The sequence below is a fragment of the Homo sapiens genome, chromosome 6 (assembly GCF_000001405.40).
Source record: "Homo sapiens chromosome 6, GRCh38.p14 Primary Assembly".
Classification (NCBI taxonomy): Eukaryota; Metazoa; Chordata; class Mammalia; order Primates; family Hominidae; genus Homo; species Homo sapiens.
In genome coordinates, this window is record NC_000006.12 from 42,289,369 (window position 1) to 42,306,024 (window position 16,656).

General features: G+C 45.2%; 1 protein-coding gene across 52 annotated transcripts in view; it reads right to left on the reverse strand.

Moving 5' to 3' along the window:
- Positions 1 to 16,656, reverse strand: part of TRERF1 (transcriptional regulating factor 1) — a 227,294-nt gene that overhangs the window by 64,438 nt on the left and 146,200 nt on the right. For all 52 annotated transcript variants that reach the window (XM_047419067.1, XM_047419061.1, XM_047419048.1 and 49 more), the window contains one exon: positions 11,270 to 11,381. The gene's annotated coding sequence lies outside the window, so the exon portion shown is untranslated. The remainder of the gene's footprint in view (positions 1 to 11,269; positions 11,382 to 16,656) is intronic.

The following is a 16,656-nucleotide window of genomic DNA, read 5'->3' on the forward strand; positions in this document are numbered from 1 at the left end:
ACAACCCAGCAACAACAAAAAAACCTTGCTCTGGCCACAGTGTAGATCAAGGGTGAGCTAAGTTCTTCTGTTCAAGGCCAGATGATACATATTCCGGGCTTTGCTGCCAAGAGGCAAATACAGGCTATTATGTAGGACTTACATAATAAGAAAGAAAATTCTACACATTTTTGAGAACACTGAAAATATAATGATAATTGAGTGAGTGTAAATTTTTGTAATACTGATCATCTAATGAGAAGAATAGGATTGTTTTTTGGAGAGAGAACACTTCCCCTTCAAAGAGAAGGAAAGTCAGTGTTCCCATATCATCAAATGCTCATCTGTAAAAGCAGCTCAAGGACTGTGTGAAATCGACAGGCAGTGGCTAGATTTGGCCCCTGGACTGTAGTTTGCTGACCCCCAGTGCAGACAATGGACTGGAGGAAGGTGAATGAGGACATGGGGCAACTTAGGTTTGCCATGGTCCAGGCCAGATAGCTTGGATGAGGGTGACGGAGGGGTGTTTTGGGGTGAACCTGACAGGATTAATGATAGAAGGGACTTATGGGGGTACAGGAGGAGGAGTCAGATGTGACCTAGATGTCAGGTTCACATCTATGAAGCGTGGAGCACTGGGAGAGCTGTTTCACATGGAGACCTCAACAGGAGCTGTCACCGTGGCAGCTGGACCGAGGTTCCAAGGCCCAGAGAGGTTTGTGAGGCCCCTGAGAACAGGCAGTCACTGAAGGCAAGAACATGAAGAAGGGCGGCCAGCACGCCGGTGAACATGGGCCCAGCGCTCAGGGGTCATGTCTTCCTCACACCAGTCAGCACACCGCTTCAAACTGTTTCTTTTGTCTCCTCCATCAAACTAGGACTGCTTCTAAGGAGTGCCTCATGGTCAGCAGAATACCTGGCACCCACTGGGTGCTAAGAACATGACAGAGGAAGGCAGGGAGGGAGGGAGGACGTCGCGACTTTTGCTTCCACAGTAAACTCAGAGCCAATCACCTCAATTCACAACAGAAGCCGATTTCTTCCTCTTGCCCTAGTCAGCTGCCCCTCGCCTGTGGCCAGCCCTCCCCAGCAACTGCTTTTGAGAAGTTGCTCTAAATCACTCTAAATCATCCAAGTGTGTGAGCACACACATGCATTTGCACACAAATCTCCTTCTGATCAACCCTGGGAACATGATTTGTGGTGATGGTGTATTGACAACACACTCATCAACTGTCAGCTCAACATGTCTAAATATTATGTCCCATCACCCAGAACATCATTTTTTTTAATTAAAAAAAAGTTAAGTGGCAATCTCACAGCAAGGAGAGAAGAAGGAAAAAAAAAGCCACAGGTTAGAGAAAATTAATTTATCCTTTTTTCCATTTCTTTCCTTTTTTTTTTTTTTTTTTTTTTTGAACAGAAGAGTAAAAAGCTCATAATTGCATCTCTTTAACAGCCCTGGGATGGGGAAATCAGTGCTGGGATGTGGGGTGGCCTGCTCCAGTGACCACATGGTGTGTTTGCTTGACATCAGTGGAGCTCCCGGCTTGGAGACCAGTCTCCCTGGGCCACAGTCACGAACCCTCTGGCCCGGTGTAAAGTCGCTGAGAAGGACACCAAAGAATTCGTGAAAGGGTGTGCATGTCCTCATGGCCAATAATAACATTCTAGAAAATATTTCATAATAACATTCTTGAAAATATTGCAAAAAGAATGGACATATACTATTTTGTTCTGTGAGGTCACAACAAACCTATGAGGTCAGAACTGTCTTCTCTGTTTGAAAGGAGGAAATTAACATGCAGGGGATGAACTTCCCAAGGTTGCATGATTGGTGATGAAGGGCTAAGCCCCCAACCCTCTGATACTCTGCGGTGCCTCTTGTCCTCCCATTGCAGATCTGTTCAGCATGAAGCTACTTCCTCCTTGCAGGATCCTTCCAGCTTTTATCACTGGTTTTTGAAGGGCCAAGGAGAGAAAGTCTATGCCGTAGTACAGGCACGTCCCATGAATCTGGCTGTCAGCTCCTAGCAAACTTCAACGCTCTAGTGTTTAGCCATGAACTTGGAAGTGTGAAAAAGAAGCTGATGCACTTTACACTAAAAAAAAAAAAAAAAGGTTCTAGGCTTAAAAGCTCCAGTTATCTGGACAAGTTTTTTGTTTTGTTTTGTTTCGTTTTTGTTGTTTGTTTGTTTGTTTTTGAGATGGAGTTTCGCTCTGTCACCCAGGCTGGAGTGCAGTGGCACAATCTCGGCTCACTGCAAGCTCTGCCTCCTGGGTTCACGCCATTCTCCTGCCTCAGCCTCCCAAGTAGCTGGGACTACAGGCGCCTGCCACCACGCCCGGCTGTTTTTTTTTTTTGTGTGTGTATTTTTTAGTAGAGACGGGGTTTCACCATGTTAGCCAGGATGGTCTCGATCTCCTGACCTCATGATCCACCCGCCTCGGCCTCCCAAAGTGCTGGGATTACAGGCATAAGACACTGCGCCCGGCCCTGTCTGGACAAGTTTTTACTCATCAGGAATATCTCATTGGAGAGAAACAAATGGATTAGATGACAAATATTTTCCTCATGGAAACACCAAGAGCACTGCTTCTGGAGTCAAAGATTGGGGTTCAAATCTCAACGTTCCACTGGCATAGTGAGTCCCTCCAGCAGGCCTATCTAACTTCGCTTTTGAGCCTCAATTTTGACATCTGTAAAACAGTAATAATAATACCTACTGTTCTGGGTTTCTGAGAAGATTAAACAAGAGAAGGTACAGGACACATGTGCTCCCAGGGAGGACTCGAGCAGTCTCATTGCCTGGGGTGGGGTTTCTGTTGTTTTGTTTTGACGTGGGTTACAGTTTAGACCAGGCTCAATGACTCAGGCATGATTGAGTTGGTTTGGTTATTTGTTTCCTGGACAACCTTCAGCCCTCCTTTTGTTTCAATCAGCAGAATGTTGCTCAGGGGCAGAAATTGCCAGGAGTGGACGCAGGAGGGAAGAGAGAAGGGCAGCCTGGGCCCTTTGGGATAGGGACCAATGACCTTGCTTACTCTAACATCCCCTGAAAGCACCTGTGTCCAGGGCACATTCATTTTATCCACAATGATGATCCAGAGACATCAAGGAAAGGCCATAGTTCGTTCAGTAGAATTGTTCACTGACAGCAGGAAACAGAATGCAAACATGCACATGACTGGCTCATCCTTGCAGGAAGTCCGAGAGAGAGAGGCCTACAAGTCTACACTGGTCAGTGCAATTCAAGGGGTGCAAAAGAGGGAATTGGTGTGGCCACGGGTCAGGCTGAGTTCTCTAATTTGGTGTTACTGGTAACGAAGGTGGTTTTCTACTTTCTGGGATATGGCTCTCAAGCAGTTCAAGACCCCCGAAGAGGAAATGAGACGCAATTATTTAGTGGCAATCTAAAGCTTAATTGTATCCAGTAGAATATCACTTTACCTGGTATCACCACCTAAAAAAGTTAGAAGGGGTGGGCCCTGTTAGCTGGAGTCATTTCAGTTCCTCTATGATACCAGATAAAGTGATATTCTACTTCGTTTTCTGTTTCAAGAGGGTACCCAGCTCTCCAATTCCAGAAAATTGGTAGTAACTCTGTCCGTATATACCATTTCCTTACTTTTAGTTACAGCCTTTCCTGCTTAAATGACATCCCCCTTTAAGGAACTGGGGACACACTGCCTGGAAGGGCTGTCCCAGGAAATCGGGTCTGGAGTGGCCTCTGTGGCCACATGTGCCACCTGATCTGATGGGCACATGGGCCTTCCCTGGTGGAAGCTCCTGACTCCCTCAGAGCTCATGCCAGCCTCACAGACGTGGAAAAAGAAAAAACGAGGCCAATCTAACCCTGACAGTTTGTGGGGGACACTCTCATACCCATTATTTCTCTGTGAGGCAGGCCCAGCAGGAGGTTTTATTTCCACCTTGAGATAAGCTATGGAAGCTCCGAGGGAGGAAGAGAGAGTTCCAAAGGATCACACATCCTGGTAGAAGCCAACTCAAGGGAGATGAGAACCAAAGGCGCCCGGTCCCAGGCCAAAGAGCCTCCAAAGACCACAAACCACTGCTACTAGAACGAGGCCAGAGCCTCCACATGGCTTGAGTGTTGTCCAAAAATACAAACAAGAAGACATCACTGAAGTGCAAAGAAACAAACTCCTATTTGTTTCTATTTCATCCATAAAAATGTCACAGCTTTCTCTGAATAGCTCTCATGTTGTCCTCCTTTTTCTCTCCACTCTTGGCCTCCTGGACCTGAACCAAGTCTCTCCCTCTCCTCTTAGTTCCGTGAACACAGATTATCTCCCTCTTCACGGGACAGTCACAGGAAATCTAAACATTTTCAGATGGGGTTCTTTTAAGCCCACTTCCCCTGTCCTCCACCCACCCCCCACCCTGTTGCTGTGTATTCAGGAAATGCAAACCCAATATAAAGATAACCCGGACCAAACAGAAAGAGAGATGTGCCCTGTGACCTGGTTGGGCAAATGACTTCCCCTCCTTGCACCTCAGACTCACCTTCTGCAGAATAAAGTTGGACCTGAGGAGCTCCAAGCCTCTGTTGGACGAATCCCCTGAGACCCTGCCTGGCCTGTCCCAGGACACTGAACAATCTTGGGCCAGGATATCAGGATATTGAGATACTAGGGTTTCCCACCAATGACACCTGATCCCTAAGGATCTGAGCCCTTTGGGGAAACAATGCTAGAAGTCAGGATGTCTGGATTGCAGTCTCAGTTCTGCCATCTTTTGGAAAAGAGAAGAGAGTGAGTAGGGGTAGGAATTAGGGGTAAGAAGTAGGGGTAGCTCTAGCTATAATGTAATTTTTTTTTTTTTTTTTTTGAGACGGAGTCTCGCTCTGTCTCCTGGGCTGGAGTGCAGTGGTGCAATCTCAGCTCACTGCAACCTCCGCTTCCTGGGTTCAAGCAATTCTGCCTCAGCTTCCTGAGTAGCTGGGATTACAGGCGTGCGCCACCACGCCCGGCTAATTTTTTTTTGTATTTTAGTAGAGACAGGGTTTCACCATATTGGCCAGGCTGGTCTCGAACTCCCGGTCTCATGATCCGCTCGCCTCAGCCTCCCAAAGTGCTAGGATTACAGGCATGAGCCACCGCGCCCGGCCTTAATGTTGCAATTAAAAAAAATAGAATAATGGCTATGACTGGTATAATAATATAATGAAATGTTTTTAGAAAGGTTCCACCAATGGTGAGAAGGAGCCAACGGCCAATCTCCAGGGCAGCACGTGAAGATTTGATGTAGAGCATATTTCCACCACTTTTATGTGGCTCTTTAAGCACAGGAGCTCTTGGCCTGGGGCACCTCCTGTCTCTATACCCGCAATAACCCTGGCACCCCAAACTCCTCAGATAATGTGTCCCCTGACTTCCTGGTCCTGAAAAGGGTCTCCGTCTGCATCTAGGACAATCCATTGTTGCAATGTACAGAGCTAGCTGACAAACAGAACCCAACCTGAGGTGTCATCTGATGAAGAATGTTTAATCTACCAGGTAAGCTCTCCATGGGCAAGGTCAGTTGGATGGCATTAGTAATCAACCTTGGCTCACGGCTCTGAGTAACCAGAATACAGAAGGGGCAGGAAGGATGAATCATGATCAGGACAGAGGCTGTTAATAGACTTTGAGGTTTGCTGGTGGGAACAAGGGGTGGGGTGGGGCTGGGCATTTAACTCCATGCAAACAGGCTTGGCCACTCGGCTGGGCTGGAAATGTCCAATCATCTTGGGAGACTGGGATAACAAAGAAGCCCCCTCCCTAACTCTAACAATGTCCCTGCTTAGTCCCCCTAGAAACCTTCACCCTTCTAAATATTTGAGCAATGCCTGGAAAAAGATAAGAGGTGAACTTCAAATAATTTTTTGGTGCTCCCAAGAGGCTGAACTTTTAAAGTTGCCAATCCCTGTTTTACAGAAGTGAGGTGGTAGCCCAGATGAGCTGAAGCATTAGTCAGAGAGACAGAAGCCATGTGGAAACCCATTCAAGACCTCCATGTTCATCAGCTATGAGTGGTCAAACACACTTGGGAAATCTGGTGTCAAATGTTAGCCGCAGGACTTCTGAGGGCTTTTGATAATGGGAGATGGTGCTCCAAGAGGGACCACAAAGGCCATCTGTGGGGCTTTCTAAACCCCAGTTCCTACCACTTCTACACCCAGGATGCATGAGGCTCCTTCTCCAGCAGCCTCACCTTGGCTGCCCCATAAGACCAGCTCAAATCATCATCCAGCCTCATCCAGGAAGCCCTCCCTGACCATTGAAGGGCATCGTGTTTTTCCCTCTTGGATATCCACTCTGAGTACCTAACAATCTTATGAAGATGTTTTAGACTTTATGCATTTTTTTTGGTTACAAAGTCCTCTTGTGATGAATAGACTTTAATTTTAGAGTAGTTTTAGATTCACAGCAACTTTATGCATTCTTTTATAGTACTTGCCCACTATACAAAGCCCAGAGTCACTATAAATAGCAGGCTTTGAAAAAAAGACTTGTTGCCTGATAGATATCAAATCAGGAAACGACACATGTCTAGGTGTAATATAAAGCCATTTATTACAAGAGGGCGTGAAAAGTGAAGTCTCATGCCAGCTATAAGAATAGAGCTAAAGGACATTCACGACCCTTCTCCCCCAGCCCCATCACTGCTGAAAATGTGTCCTCAGAGCAGTAATGCCATCCCTTGATCTGGGGGCCCTGCAAGGGAAACCTCCACAGTGAGTCCACGCAGCCCCAGCCCCACCACGGCACCAGGACACAGGGCACAGCTCAGCGGGAGGGCCAAGATATGGAGTGTGGAGGTCTAGGCCCCATTTTCAGAACCCCTGGTTTACATCTTCCACAAACACTGGCCAGACCAGTGCGTTCTATCTTCCCTCAGATTATTTTTAAAAACACCCCAGTTCAAAGAACATCATAAAGAGGCTGGGATTCCCACATTTACATTAGATTTCTGCCTCCATTTTAATCTCATTTTATAAACTGGCTTTGTCAATTTAAAAGCATCACCAACAAGAACACTGGCCTTGAAGTGGTCTGTTCTCAGTCATAGTTATATGAACCACCACTGACCAAGCACTGATGATATCCAAGCTCTGTGTTACAAGCTCTACAGGCATCATTTCATTAAGTCCTTGAATAGCTCTATCCACTGTCCCCATGTGACCAATGAAGAAACGGAAGCTCAGAGAGATTCAGCTGTTAAGTGGCAGAGGTAGGTTCAAACTCAGCTCTTTCTCCCTGCCCCTCAAAGCCCAAAAGCCAAACCACTGTGCTCTGTAGACTCCCCTCCAATGAAAGGCACGCCACCATGAAAAAGAAAAACCAATCGCAGGAAGGATGGGGAGAGGGGAAAAGGAAAAAGAGGCAGAGGGAAGGGAAGAAGGTGAGAAGGAGAGAGTAGCATAAGGAGGAAAGGAAGCCAAGGTCTGGATGAGAAGCCCACGGGATCTGGCTTCAGGTTCAGGAGACTTTTTGCAGAATGGGAATGAAGCAGGAGGGCTGCTGGTGACTGCCAGACAAACAAGCCACAAAATATGGAGAAGCCATTTCCTCCCTCAAGGAAGATAAACAATAGATTCATAAACAAATTGTACAAAGCTGTTCAGCTAGTTAAAACATTTTGGTAGCAACTCATATTCTTTGTGGGACTAAAGTTTGTCCTTGCCAATGGTCAACAGTTATCGTGGGGAGAGAGGAGAGGAGAGGGACATATTCTCTCCCAGCCTTTCACCTGCTAGGCCTATGGCTACACCCTCTCTGAGCTTCAGGTCACTCTTCTGTGAAGAAATAGAAATTCCTGCCCTCCTGACTATTGTGGAGAAGAAAAAGATATACTTTTGGCAATATGGCAGACCGGATACCTTACTTGCCCCTCCTAATGGAAAGAACTAATATGCTGGATACAATTTTAGATATAAAGACTGAATACACATTGCTGAGATAGTACAAATGAAAAGACCAAAACAAACCCAAAGCAGGAACCTTGGAAGGTGAGCTGGCATCAAAGCTGGCTTTTGCCCTGAGGGTTTCTGCTGAAACCTGGAGATTCTAAGTTTCCCAATGACAGCAGCACAGGGTTAAGAGCCTAGGGAGACCCCTCCACAAAGTTGGGACTTCAAATGGCTCCACTCCACAAAATTCATTCGACTTGGTGAATGAGAAGTAAATGCACAACACAGAGACTGCAAGAAAACTGGACCTTGCAAGGGCTGAGCAGAATGGGGGGAAAATCTCTCTGCTGAAAATGTGTAACCATAGCTGGACTTCACACAGGTTTGTAGCCTGAATTATATTACTTGGGTAGCCAGAAAAGCCTTAACTAGAAAATTAATTTAAAGTGATTTTTGTTGGTAATGCCCACCAGACAACCAGCAGAAGTTAACCAAATCCTCTCTGGAAAAGACAACTCAACCCACACCTCAGATAATTCCCTAAGATAAAGTGCCAAGAAAAAATGAGCAATTCACAGGAAACAAGGCATTATGAATACCAGCCAGCAGAAACAACAAGTGGCAGAACCAGACCTGCAAGAACTTCAGATTTGGGAATTACAAGACACAAAATTATAAAATTTCTAAATAGCAAATTTAATATTTTAAAGAAATAAACATCTTCAAATATGAGCAAGAAATGAGAGACCAGAAAAATCACCAAGCAGAACTTCTAGAAATGACAAATAAATAAAGCAAAAAGAAAAAATCCAATGAATGGGTTAAAGAGCATTTTAGACACATAATAAATTAGTTAAATAGAAGATAGTTGTTGTTTTTTTTTGTTTTTGTTTTTGTTTTTGTTTTTTTTGAGACAAAGTCTGGCTCTGTCACCCAGGCTGGAGTGCAGTGGTATGGTCTCAACTCACAGCAACCTCCACCTCCAGGGTTCAAGTGATTCTTGTGCCTCAGCCTCCAGAGTAGCTGGGATTATAGGTGCGCGCCACCACACCTGGCCAATTTTTTTATTTTTAGTAGAGATGGGGTTTCACCATGTTGGCCAGGCTGGTCTTGAACTTCTGACTTCAGGTGATCCACCCACCAAGGCCTCCCAAAGTGCTGGGATTACAGGTATGAGCTATTCCCCCGGCCAGAAGATAGATTTGAATAAATTATTCAGAGTTCAGCACAGAGAGACAAAGAGATGAAAACGTAAAATAGGTTGAGGGTGGTGGCTCACGCCTGTAATGCCAGCACTTTGGGAGGCTGAAGTGGGTGGATCACTGGAGGTCAGGAGTTCGAGACCAGCCTGGCCAACAGGGTAAAACCCTGTTTCTACTTAAAATACAAAAATTGGTGGGGCACGGTGGCTCATGCCTGTAATCCCAGCACTTTGGGAGGCCGAGACGGGTGGATCACCTGAGGTCAGGAATTTGAGACCAGCCTGGCCAACATGGTGAAATCCCATCTCTACTAAAAATACAAAAATTAGCCAGGCGTGGTAGCAGACGCCTGTAGTCCCAGCTACTCAGGAGACTCAGGCAGGAGAACTGCTTGAGCCCAGGAGGTGCAGGTTGCAGGGAGCCAAGATTGTGTCACTGTACTTCAGACTGGGAAACAGAGAGAGATTCCGTCTCAAAAACAAAACGAAACAAAACAAAAAACAAACAAACAAAAAAAGCTAAGGTAGCTCCTCGGGAGGAGGAGGTGAGAGTATCATTTGAGCCCAGGAGTTTGAAGCTAGCCTGGGCAAGAGAGCAAGACCCTGTCTCTAAAAATATCTATCTATCTATCTGTCTGTCTGTCTGTCTGTCTCTATCTATCTATCTATCTACATATATATATATATCTAGCTAGCTGGATAACCCCTGAAAAAACACACATAGAGTCTGTTTTTTTCTATCTATCTATCTATCTATCTATCTATCTATCTATCTATCATCTATCCAGGTAGCTAGCTGGGTAACCCCAGAAATAACAGACATAGAGTATGCAAGTTACAAATAAGAAGATGGAAAATGAAATGAGGGGGGAAAATACCTCAACCTAAAAGAAAGAGCAGAAAAAATTAAATGCATGTAAAGATGGTAGAAATAAATCCCAATTCATCAATAAAATACACCAGTTCTAAACATCTATGCACCAAACAGTATTGCCTCAAAACATATAAAGCAACAATTTCAGCATTGCAAGGAGCAACTGACAAATCCAGTGGGAGGCTTTAACACACCTCTCTCAATAATTGATAGATAATCAGACAAAATCAGAAAAGAACATATTATAGATGATTTGAGCTGCACAATAAGCTAACTTATCTTTCAATGATGATATATAGAAAACTATATCCAATATTTAAAGATGTTTTTTGAAGCACTTATGGGACATTTAAGAAAAAAAGTTGCAGAGATAAAAATGTAAAAAAGGAGCCCACGGAAGTAGTTCAATGCATATTTCAAACTCTAAGGATCTAAACCTATTTTGTCTTAAAAGACAGAGACCCTGTCTTTCTTCTTCATTGATATATCTCCAGAGTCTAGCACAGTGCCTGTCACAAAGGAGGCTGTAAATAGCCACTGAAGAACGAATGGTGAATGAATGATTCTCTACTGAAGATGGTGCAGGTTGCATGAGCAACCAGCAAGGCAGACGCTGGAGGTAACTAAAGCCCTTTCCAACACAGAGGGGACGAGAGGACAAGGTGACTGGCACCAGTCTCTAGGGAGAATTTATACCAAAAAAAGAAAGACGGAGTCATGACAGCCAAATCTTCAAATCTTCAAACCCAGTGAGAGAGGCATGTGGAAGAGTCTTTGAAAGCCAAGTCTTTGTGGTTCCTAATGGCAGAGCAGAGACCAGCAGACAGAACTAACAACTAACTGTCCAACACTGGCTGGAAACTGGCCTGACTGATCATCTAAGGCCCCTTATGACTCTGTGTGGGACAGAAGTCTGTCTAGCAGGTACTGGGACTCTCAGGTCGTGGACTGAGTAATCTTTCCCATTCTATCCTGTCTCAGAGATTTTTTCATTCAAAATTCCCTGGATACCCCATCCTGTAAGACCTGTCCAAGGTCCCAGATTCAGGAGGTGGTGGAAGAATAATAAGAGCTCCATTCTAGACACTCAACTCAGTCCTTTCTGCTCCATATCAGCCTCTCCTTTAACCAAAATGAGCACACTTTAATCTGTAAAGTGACATGCACTTTCTAAGTCTACCCTCATCCCAGGAAACCTCATTCTTCTAGCACATAGCAAGGGATTACAAATGCATACAGAAAGTGTTAAAATGAAAATGAAAATTCCTCAGCCTTCCAGAAGAAGGAAAGCAAGCTCACCTTGACCTCCGCAGATGGCTGAGTTGGGGGCCTGGTTCTGGGGGCTTCTCCTGCGGTCGGCCAATCATGCTGCTTTCATGCTGCTGGACAGGTGGGAAGAGGAGGCCTGGTCCTGTGGGGAAAAGAAAAAGGAAAGGTCATTTCCTCATCATTTGCTCCTAGCTCTTCATCACCATCCTGCAGAAGACACTACCAGAAATCCCAGGGAAATTCCCGAGGCTGTCCTCACCTACTCTTAGGTAATGAGGAAGCAGACAGGCATGCATTCAACAAACATTTCCAAAGGCCTGCAATGTGCCAGGCAGGGCACTGAGGAATGAGGCCATGGAGATGAACTGGATGCAGTCTCTACACTTAGGAAACAGAGAGAGAGAGAGAGACAGACAGACAGACAGACAGACACAGAGAGATATAGAGAGACAGAGAGAGATCTGAGTTTCATTATAATATCATTTGCTAAGTGCTGTGATTCCCCAAATCCATTCAACAGCTGACTTTCCTCATGGGGGAGCTACAGCAGCTTACAGGTGCCTTGGCATACAGCTTCTCAAGTTATTTGTCATGAAGAACCAGTTGTTTTGTTTTGTTTTGTTTTGTTTTGTTTTTTTCTGAGACAGAGTCTCACTCTGTTGCCCAGGCTGGAGTGCAATGGTGTGATCTTGGCTCACTGCAACTTCTGCCTCCCAGGTTCAAGCAATTCTCCTGCCTCAGCCTCCCAAGTAGCTGGGATTATAGGTGCCCACCACCACACCTGGCTAATTTTTGTATTTTTAGTAGAGACGGGGTTTCACCATGTTGGCCAGGCTGGTCTTGCACTCCTGACCTCATGATCTGCCCGCCTCGGCCTCCCAAAGTGCTGGGACTACAGGCGTGGGCCACCGTGCCCAGCCGAAGGACCAGTTTTTAAAAAATTTTCCACACCATTAGAGATGACTACTTTAATAAAATATAGTAAAAATGAACTGCTAGAAAAAGGAAATGAAAAGATACTGATACAAAGTGCAAGCTCACTTTTAAGTTCTTTGATTCAACAGATTATTCTGTCAAATCGGCATGAAAGTTACTAAGCACCGACTCAATTTCTGAACTTATCTCATGGACCGCTAAAGAGTTTGCAGAGAGCACCACTCCTGAGCCACAGCTGAGTAGCAGCATTGCTATAGTAGAGACTTCCACATTGCACACCTTTCCTAAGATGTCTAGCTGATATGTTCAGAGAGGGAGGCTAGAAAGAAAAATGATTTCAAATTCACTCTCTGGACTATAAAAAGTTAGTTCAGAGAGTCTCTCTTTGGGAAGGAGAACCACAGCAGGAGCTTTGGGAAAGTGTGGCTCCATGCTGTTTGGAGATAGGTGGTGGCACCCACCTGCTGTGTTCAGGTAACAAAGTGTGAGGCTCATGGAAAGCTGTTCCTGGAGCCCTGTCTGCCTCCACCCTGAACTTCCCAACCCTAACTATGGCAACCCCGCCTGAAGCTCCCTCCCTGAATGAGAAGAACAAAGAGTCATCTATTAAAATGCACTGGGACATTTCAGAAAATAAATCATTTTCAAGATGCCAAAAGGGCTGCTGGTATGCATTCCTACTATTTAATGCTATAAAATGATTTTTTTTTAAATGAGAAATCCTTTGTCTGTGACAGCTAGCTCCAAAAAAAACCTTTAACTGCCTATTTCCTTAATACTTGAGGGAGGCATTACAAGTCATTTTCACCCATTTGAATGTTTAAGAGAAAGTGCTCATTCTTCTAAATTCGCTGCTTTTAAGTAGTTCTTATTTTAAGCTTTAGAAGAAGATAACTCTGCAGAAGAAAACTTCCTTTTTCAAAGCCTTGTTTGTTTTGTTTTTTTAAATGCAAACACACATACACTCTCAACTCCCTGCTTCAAATGTTAAATCATCTGCAATTTTGGAGTTTGTTGCTCATGAAATTCTAGCGATAAGCACATCACAAACATTCCTATAGCAACAGAGTGTTTTTGAAGCAACATCTGTAATGTTACAAAGATTGTGTATCATTATCTCTGAATGTTGGCAAAGGGAAGGTTATGGGGAATAACTGTTTATGTACAAATAAGTCAGTACAGTAACTGGCAACCTGAATAGCAGACCTTACCAAGGAGCTAAGCATGGCACGGGTGGGAAGCAGGAATGCACTTCATTCCGTTTCTGTGAATAAATTCACCATCCTAACCCTCTATGTATGAAAACAACTTTCTAGGGTCCTCTCTGCAGAGGCGTGAGCTCTTGGAACTGCTTGTCTTATGGGCAAGAGTTTGTCTTAGACAACATATGGCCAACTTTTATTAGCCATCTATTGTAAGTCAGGCATGGAGCTAGACTCAGGGCTTCTAAAGACAGGTTCTTCTTCAAAGAGGCTCAAGAGAACCATATAAACAGATAATTACAATTCCCTAAGAAGAGATTATTGGCTGGAGTTAAGGGAAAGGAAATGAAATTAACTAGTTCAATCCATTCATCTAACCATCCATTCACCCATCCAATGTTGGCTGGTGCCTAGTATGTACTAGGCAAATGCAAGGCACTTGGCATACAACAGCTGAGTGAGACCAGTGTGTTCCCTACCTTCATGGAGCTTACAATCAAGTGCAAGAAGGAAACCAACATTAACAAATTAGAGATAACTATAATAGTGGTCCCCTAAAGAAACATAGCTAATGCATAATAGCATATGCCAGAAGATGGACTAGCATGGACATGGGGCAGAAATGCTTTCCTAAGGAATTAGTCTTTAATATGAGCCCTAAGAATAAATTACTGAAGCAAAGTAGGGAGGGCAGCAGGGGAAAGATAGAGAGCAAGGGTGCTGCTGGTACACCGAGTAGCCTGTGCAAAGGTCCTGTGACAGGATGGAGCATGGCATACTCTAATTAGGAGAGAAGGCTCTTAATCAGGACTGCACTGTTTCTTAACCTCACACTGTGCTCCAATCACTGTGGTATTCAAGACAGGCATTAAAGATGTACAGGTTTGGCTGCGCACAGTGGGTCCCACCTGTAATCCCAGCATTTTGGGAGGCAGAGGTGGGTGGATCGCTTGAGCCCAGGAGTTTGAGACAAAACCTGGGCAACATGGTGAAACCCCATCTCTACAAAAAAATACAAAAATTAGCCAGGTGTGGTGGTTTGTGTTTGTAGTCCCAGCTACTTGAGAGGATCACTTGAATCTGGGAGGTGAAGGCTGCAGTGAGCAGAGATCGCACCACTGCACTCCAGCCTGGGTGACAGAGGGAGACACTGTCTCATAAAAAAAAAAAAAAAAAAAAAAAAAGAAGATGTACAGGTTTTTCCAAAAGCACCCAAGAAGTTTTCTAGGGCAAATTAGGAACATATTGTGCCTAACTGCTAAATTCTCCCTCTTCCCAAACTGGCATGAGACATCCAAAATAGGGGCACCCTTGCCCTCCCTCCCAATGTATGATAAGTTTTAAGATTCTTACCTACTTGTTTTCTGCAACAGTGGTAAATTCAGTTTGGCCAGTGGCAAAATTAGGTGGCCAGTGCTGACACAGGGATGTGGATAAGCATTCTATTAAAATGATTGCTGGAGAAGCCTCACGGGGGTGTTACTTTCTAAGAAAGGTCATGCAATTTCATGCATAGCATGTGAGCTCTGGAGCTAAGGAGACCTAGGCTCTGCCCCTCACTAGCCGTATGGCCTTGTCCCACTTCTGTGAAATGAGGTTACTTAGCAGTGTCTTCCTTGCTGAACAGGCAGATCAGTGAGAGCGTAGGTCCCTCACTGAGCACGCTGCCCCTGCTCCTAATAGGCCCTGGATAAGTGGCAGCTGTTGCTAGCACTATACCCAGTGAGTGGGGATAATCATGCCCCTCCCTCTATGTGAATATCCACAAGAATCCACAAGGATTTCCCAGCCGGTGCTGACGCTGCAGGGCAGCTTTGCAAGGCTCAGAGTCAGCTATTGCTGACCAGGGGTTCTGATGACTTGCTATTTCTTGGTCTGTGCCTTCAAAGGTCCCCAACCACTGTGCTGAGAGATCCCAGAACAATCCAGATACCTGGCCCCTACCCCTTAGAAGTCAGTAGACCCTCCCAAGCCGAGACAATGAAAAAACTCTCCAGACATTGCCAACTGTCTCTTGCAAAATCACTCCCAGTTGAGAACTACCATTCTACCGTGTACAGAAAGGCCTACCCACAGCAAGAATTATCCAGCTCACAAAACCAGGGTGCTTACAGATAGCTCCTCCCAGGAGCTGAGGGCCTGAAGCCAGTAGACCTGGATTCTAGTTCTAATTCCAGCTCCACCATAATGATTAGGGTCCTCTTGGACAAACAGCCGAATCCCAGATGGCAGGGGAGGTGAACAGCTACTATATCCCAAAGGCCAAAGAACAGCTACTATATCCCATTCAGACCAGGCACGTTGCTAGGACTTCCCAGACAGTGCCTCTAGTACTTACAACCATCCTGCTGAGGTGCTGTAGGGATCACCATTCTACAAGTGAGGAAGCCGAGGTCTGATGCCTTGCCCAAGGCCACAGAACTGAGTGGTTGAGCCAGAGCTTTAAGGGCCAAATCCCATCCTCTTTATCCCATCACCCTGCCTCCTTACAGGGGTAGAAATCTTATCTCCTTCCCATATGACCAGTAAAGAGGCAGCCCTGGAGGGTTGTGTGACTTTCCAAGGACCTGTCACATCCACCATGCCACCAAGCAAGGCCAGAATCTTCCCACAGCCCCACGCTGCTATCAGAACCTCAGTTTCCCTTCTATACAATGGGGGTGACAAATGCCGCCTCACAGGCCACACTGCTGTCTGAGTTAAGGGAGAGTGAAGATTAGGAGTCTTAGGGAAGGAAGAAATTAATACACAGGAACAAGCACTTTAAATGAGTATCTAAAAGCCCAAATCAAAGAGGGGTTCTCTGCAGCCACAAGGCCGTTGAAAGGAAAAGAACAGCTCACATCTACCAGACCGAGGACGGGGGGTTCAGCCAGGGGAAGGGAGGGACACAGGATATAAACTATGAAGCAGGACCAAATGAAGTGTGAAGAATTCCCTCCATGCCACCCACAATTCATTAGAAATTGGCACAGATTTTAAAAAGAAGAAAAAGGAACAGGGGGAGGGGGATGCAGGAAAATGGAGAGGAGGGAGGAATTAAATGTGAGACAGGCTCTACAGAGCATCTGAGAAACAGTGCAGAGAGGAATCACTGCAATGAGATCCCAGGCTCCAGTCACCTAGGGACCCACAGTTCTGTCAAATGAGTTCTATGTGGAGATGCCAGAAGGAGATGTAATTTTCAAGTGAGGCCCAGAAACTTTTCAGACGTGAGGAAAACTCCCATTCTCTCTCCAAATATCTCTCCTTTTTTTTTTTTTTTTTTTTTTTTGAGAC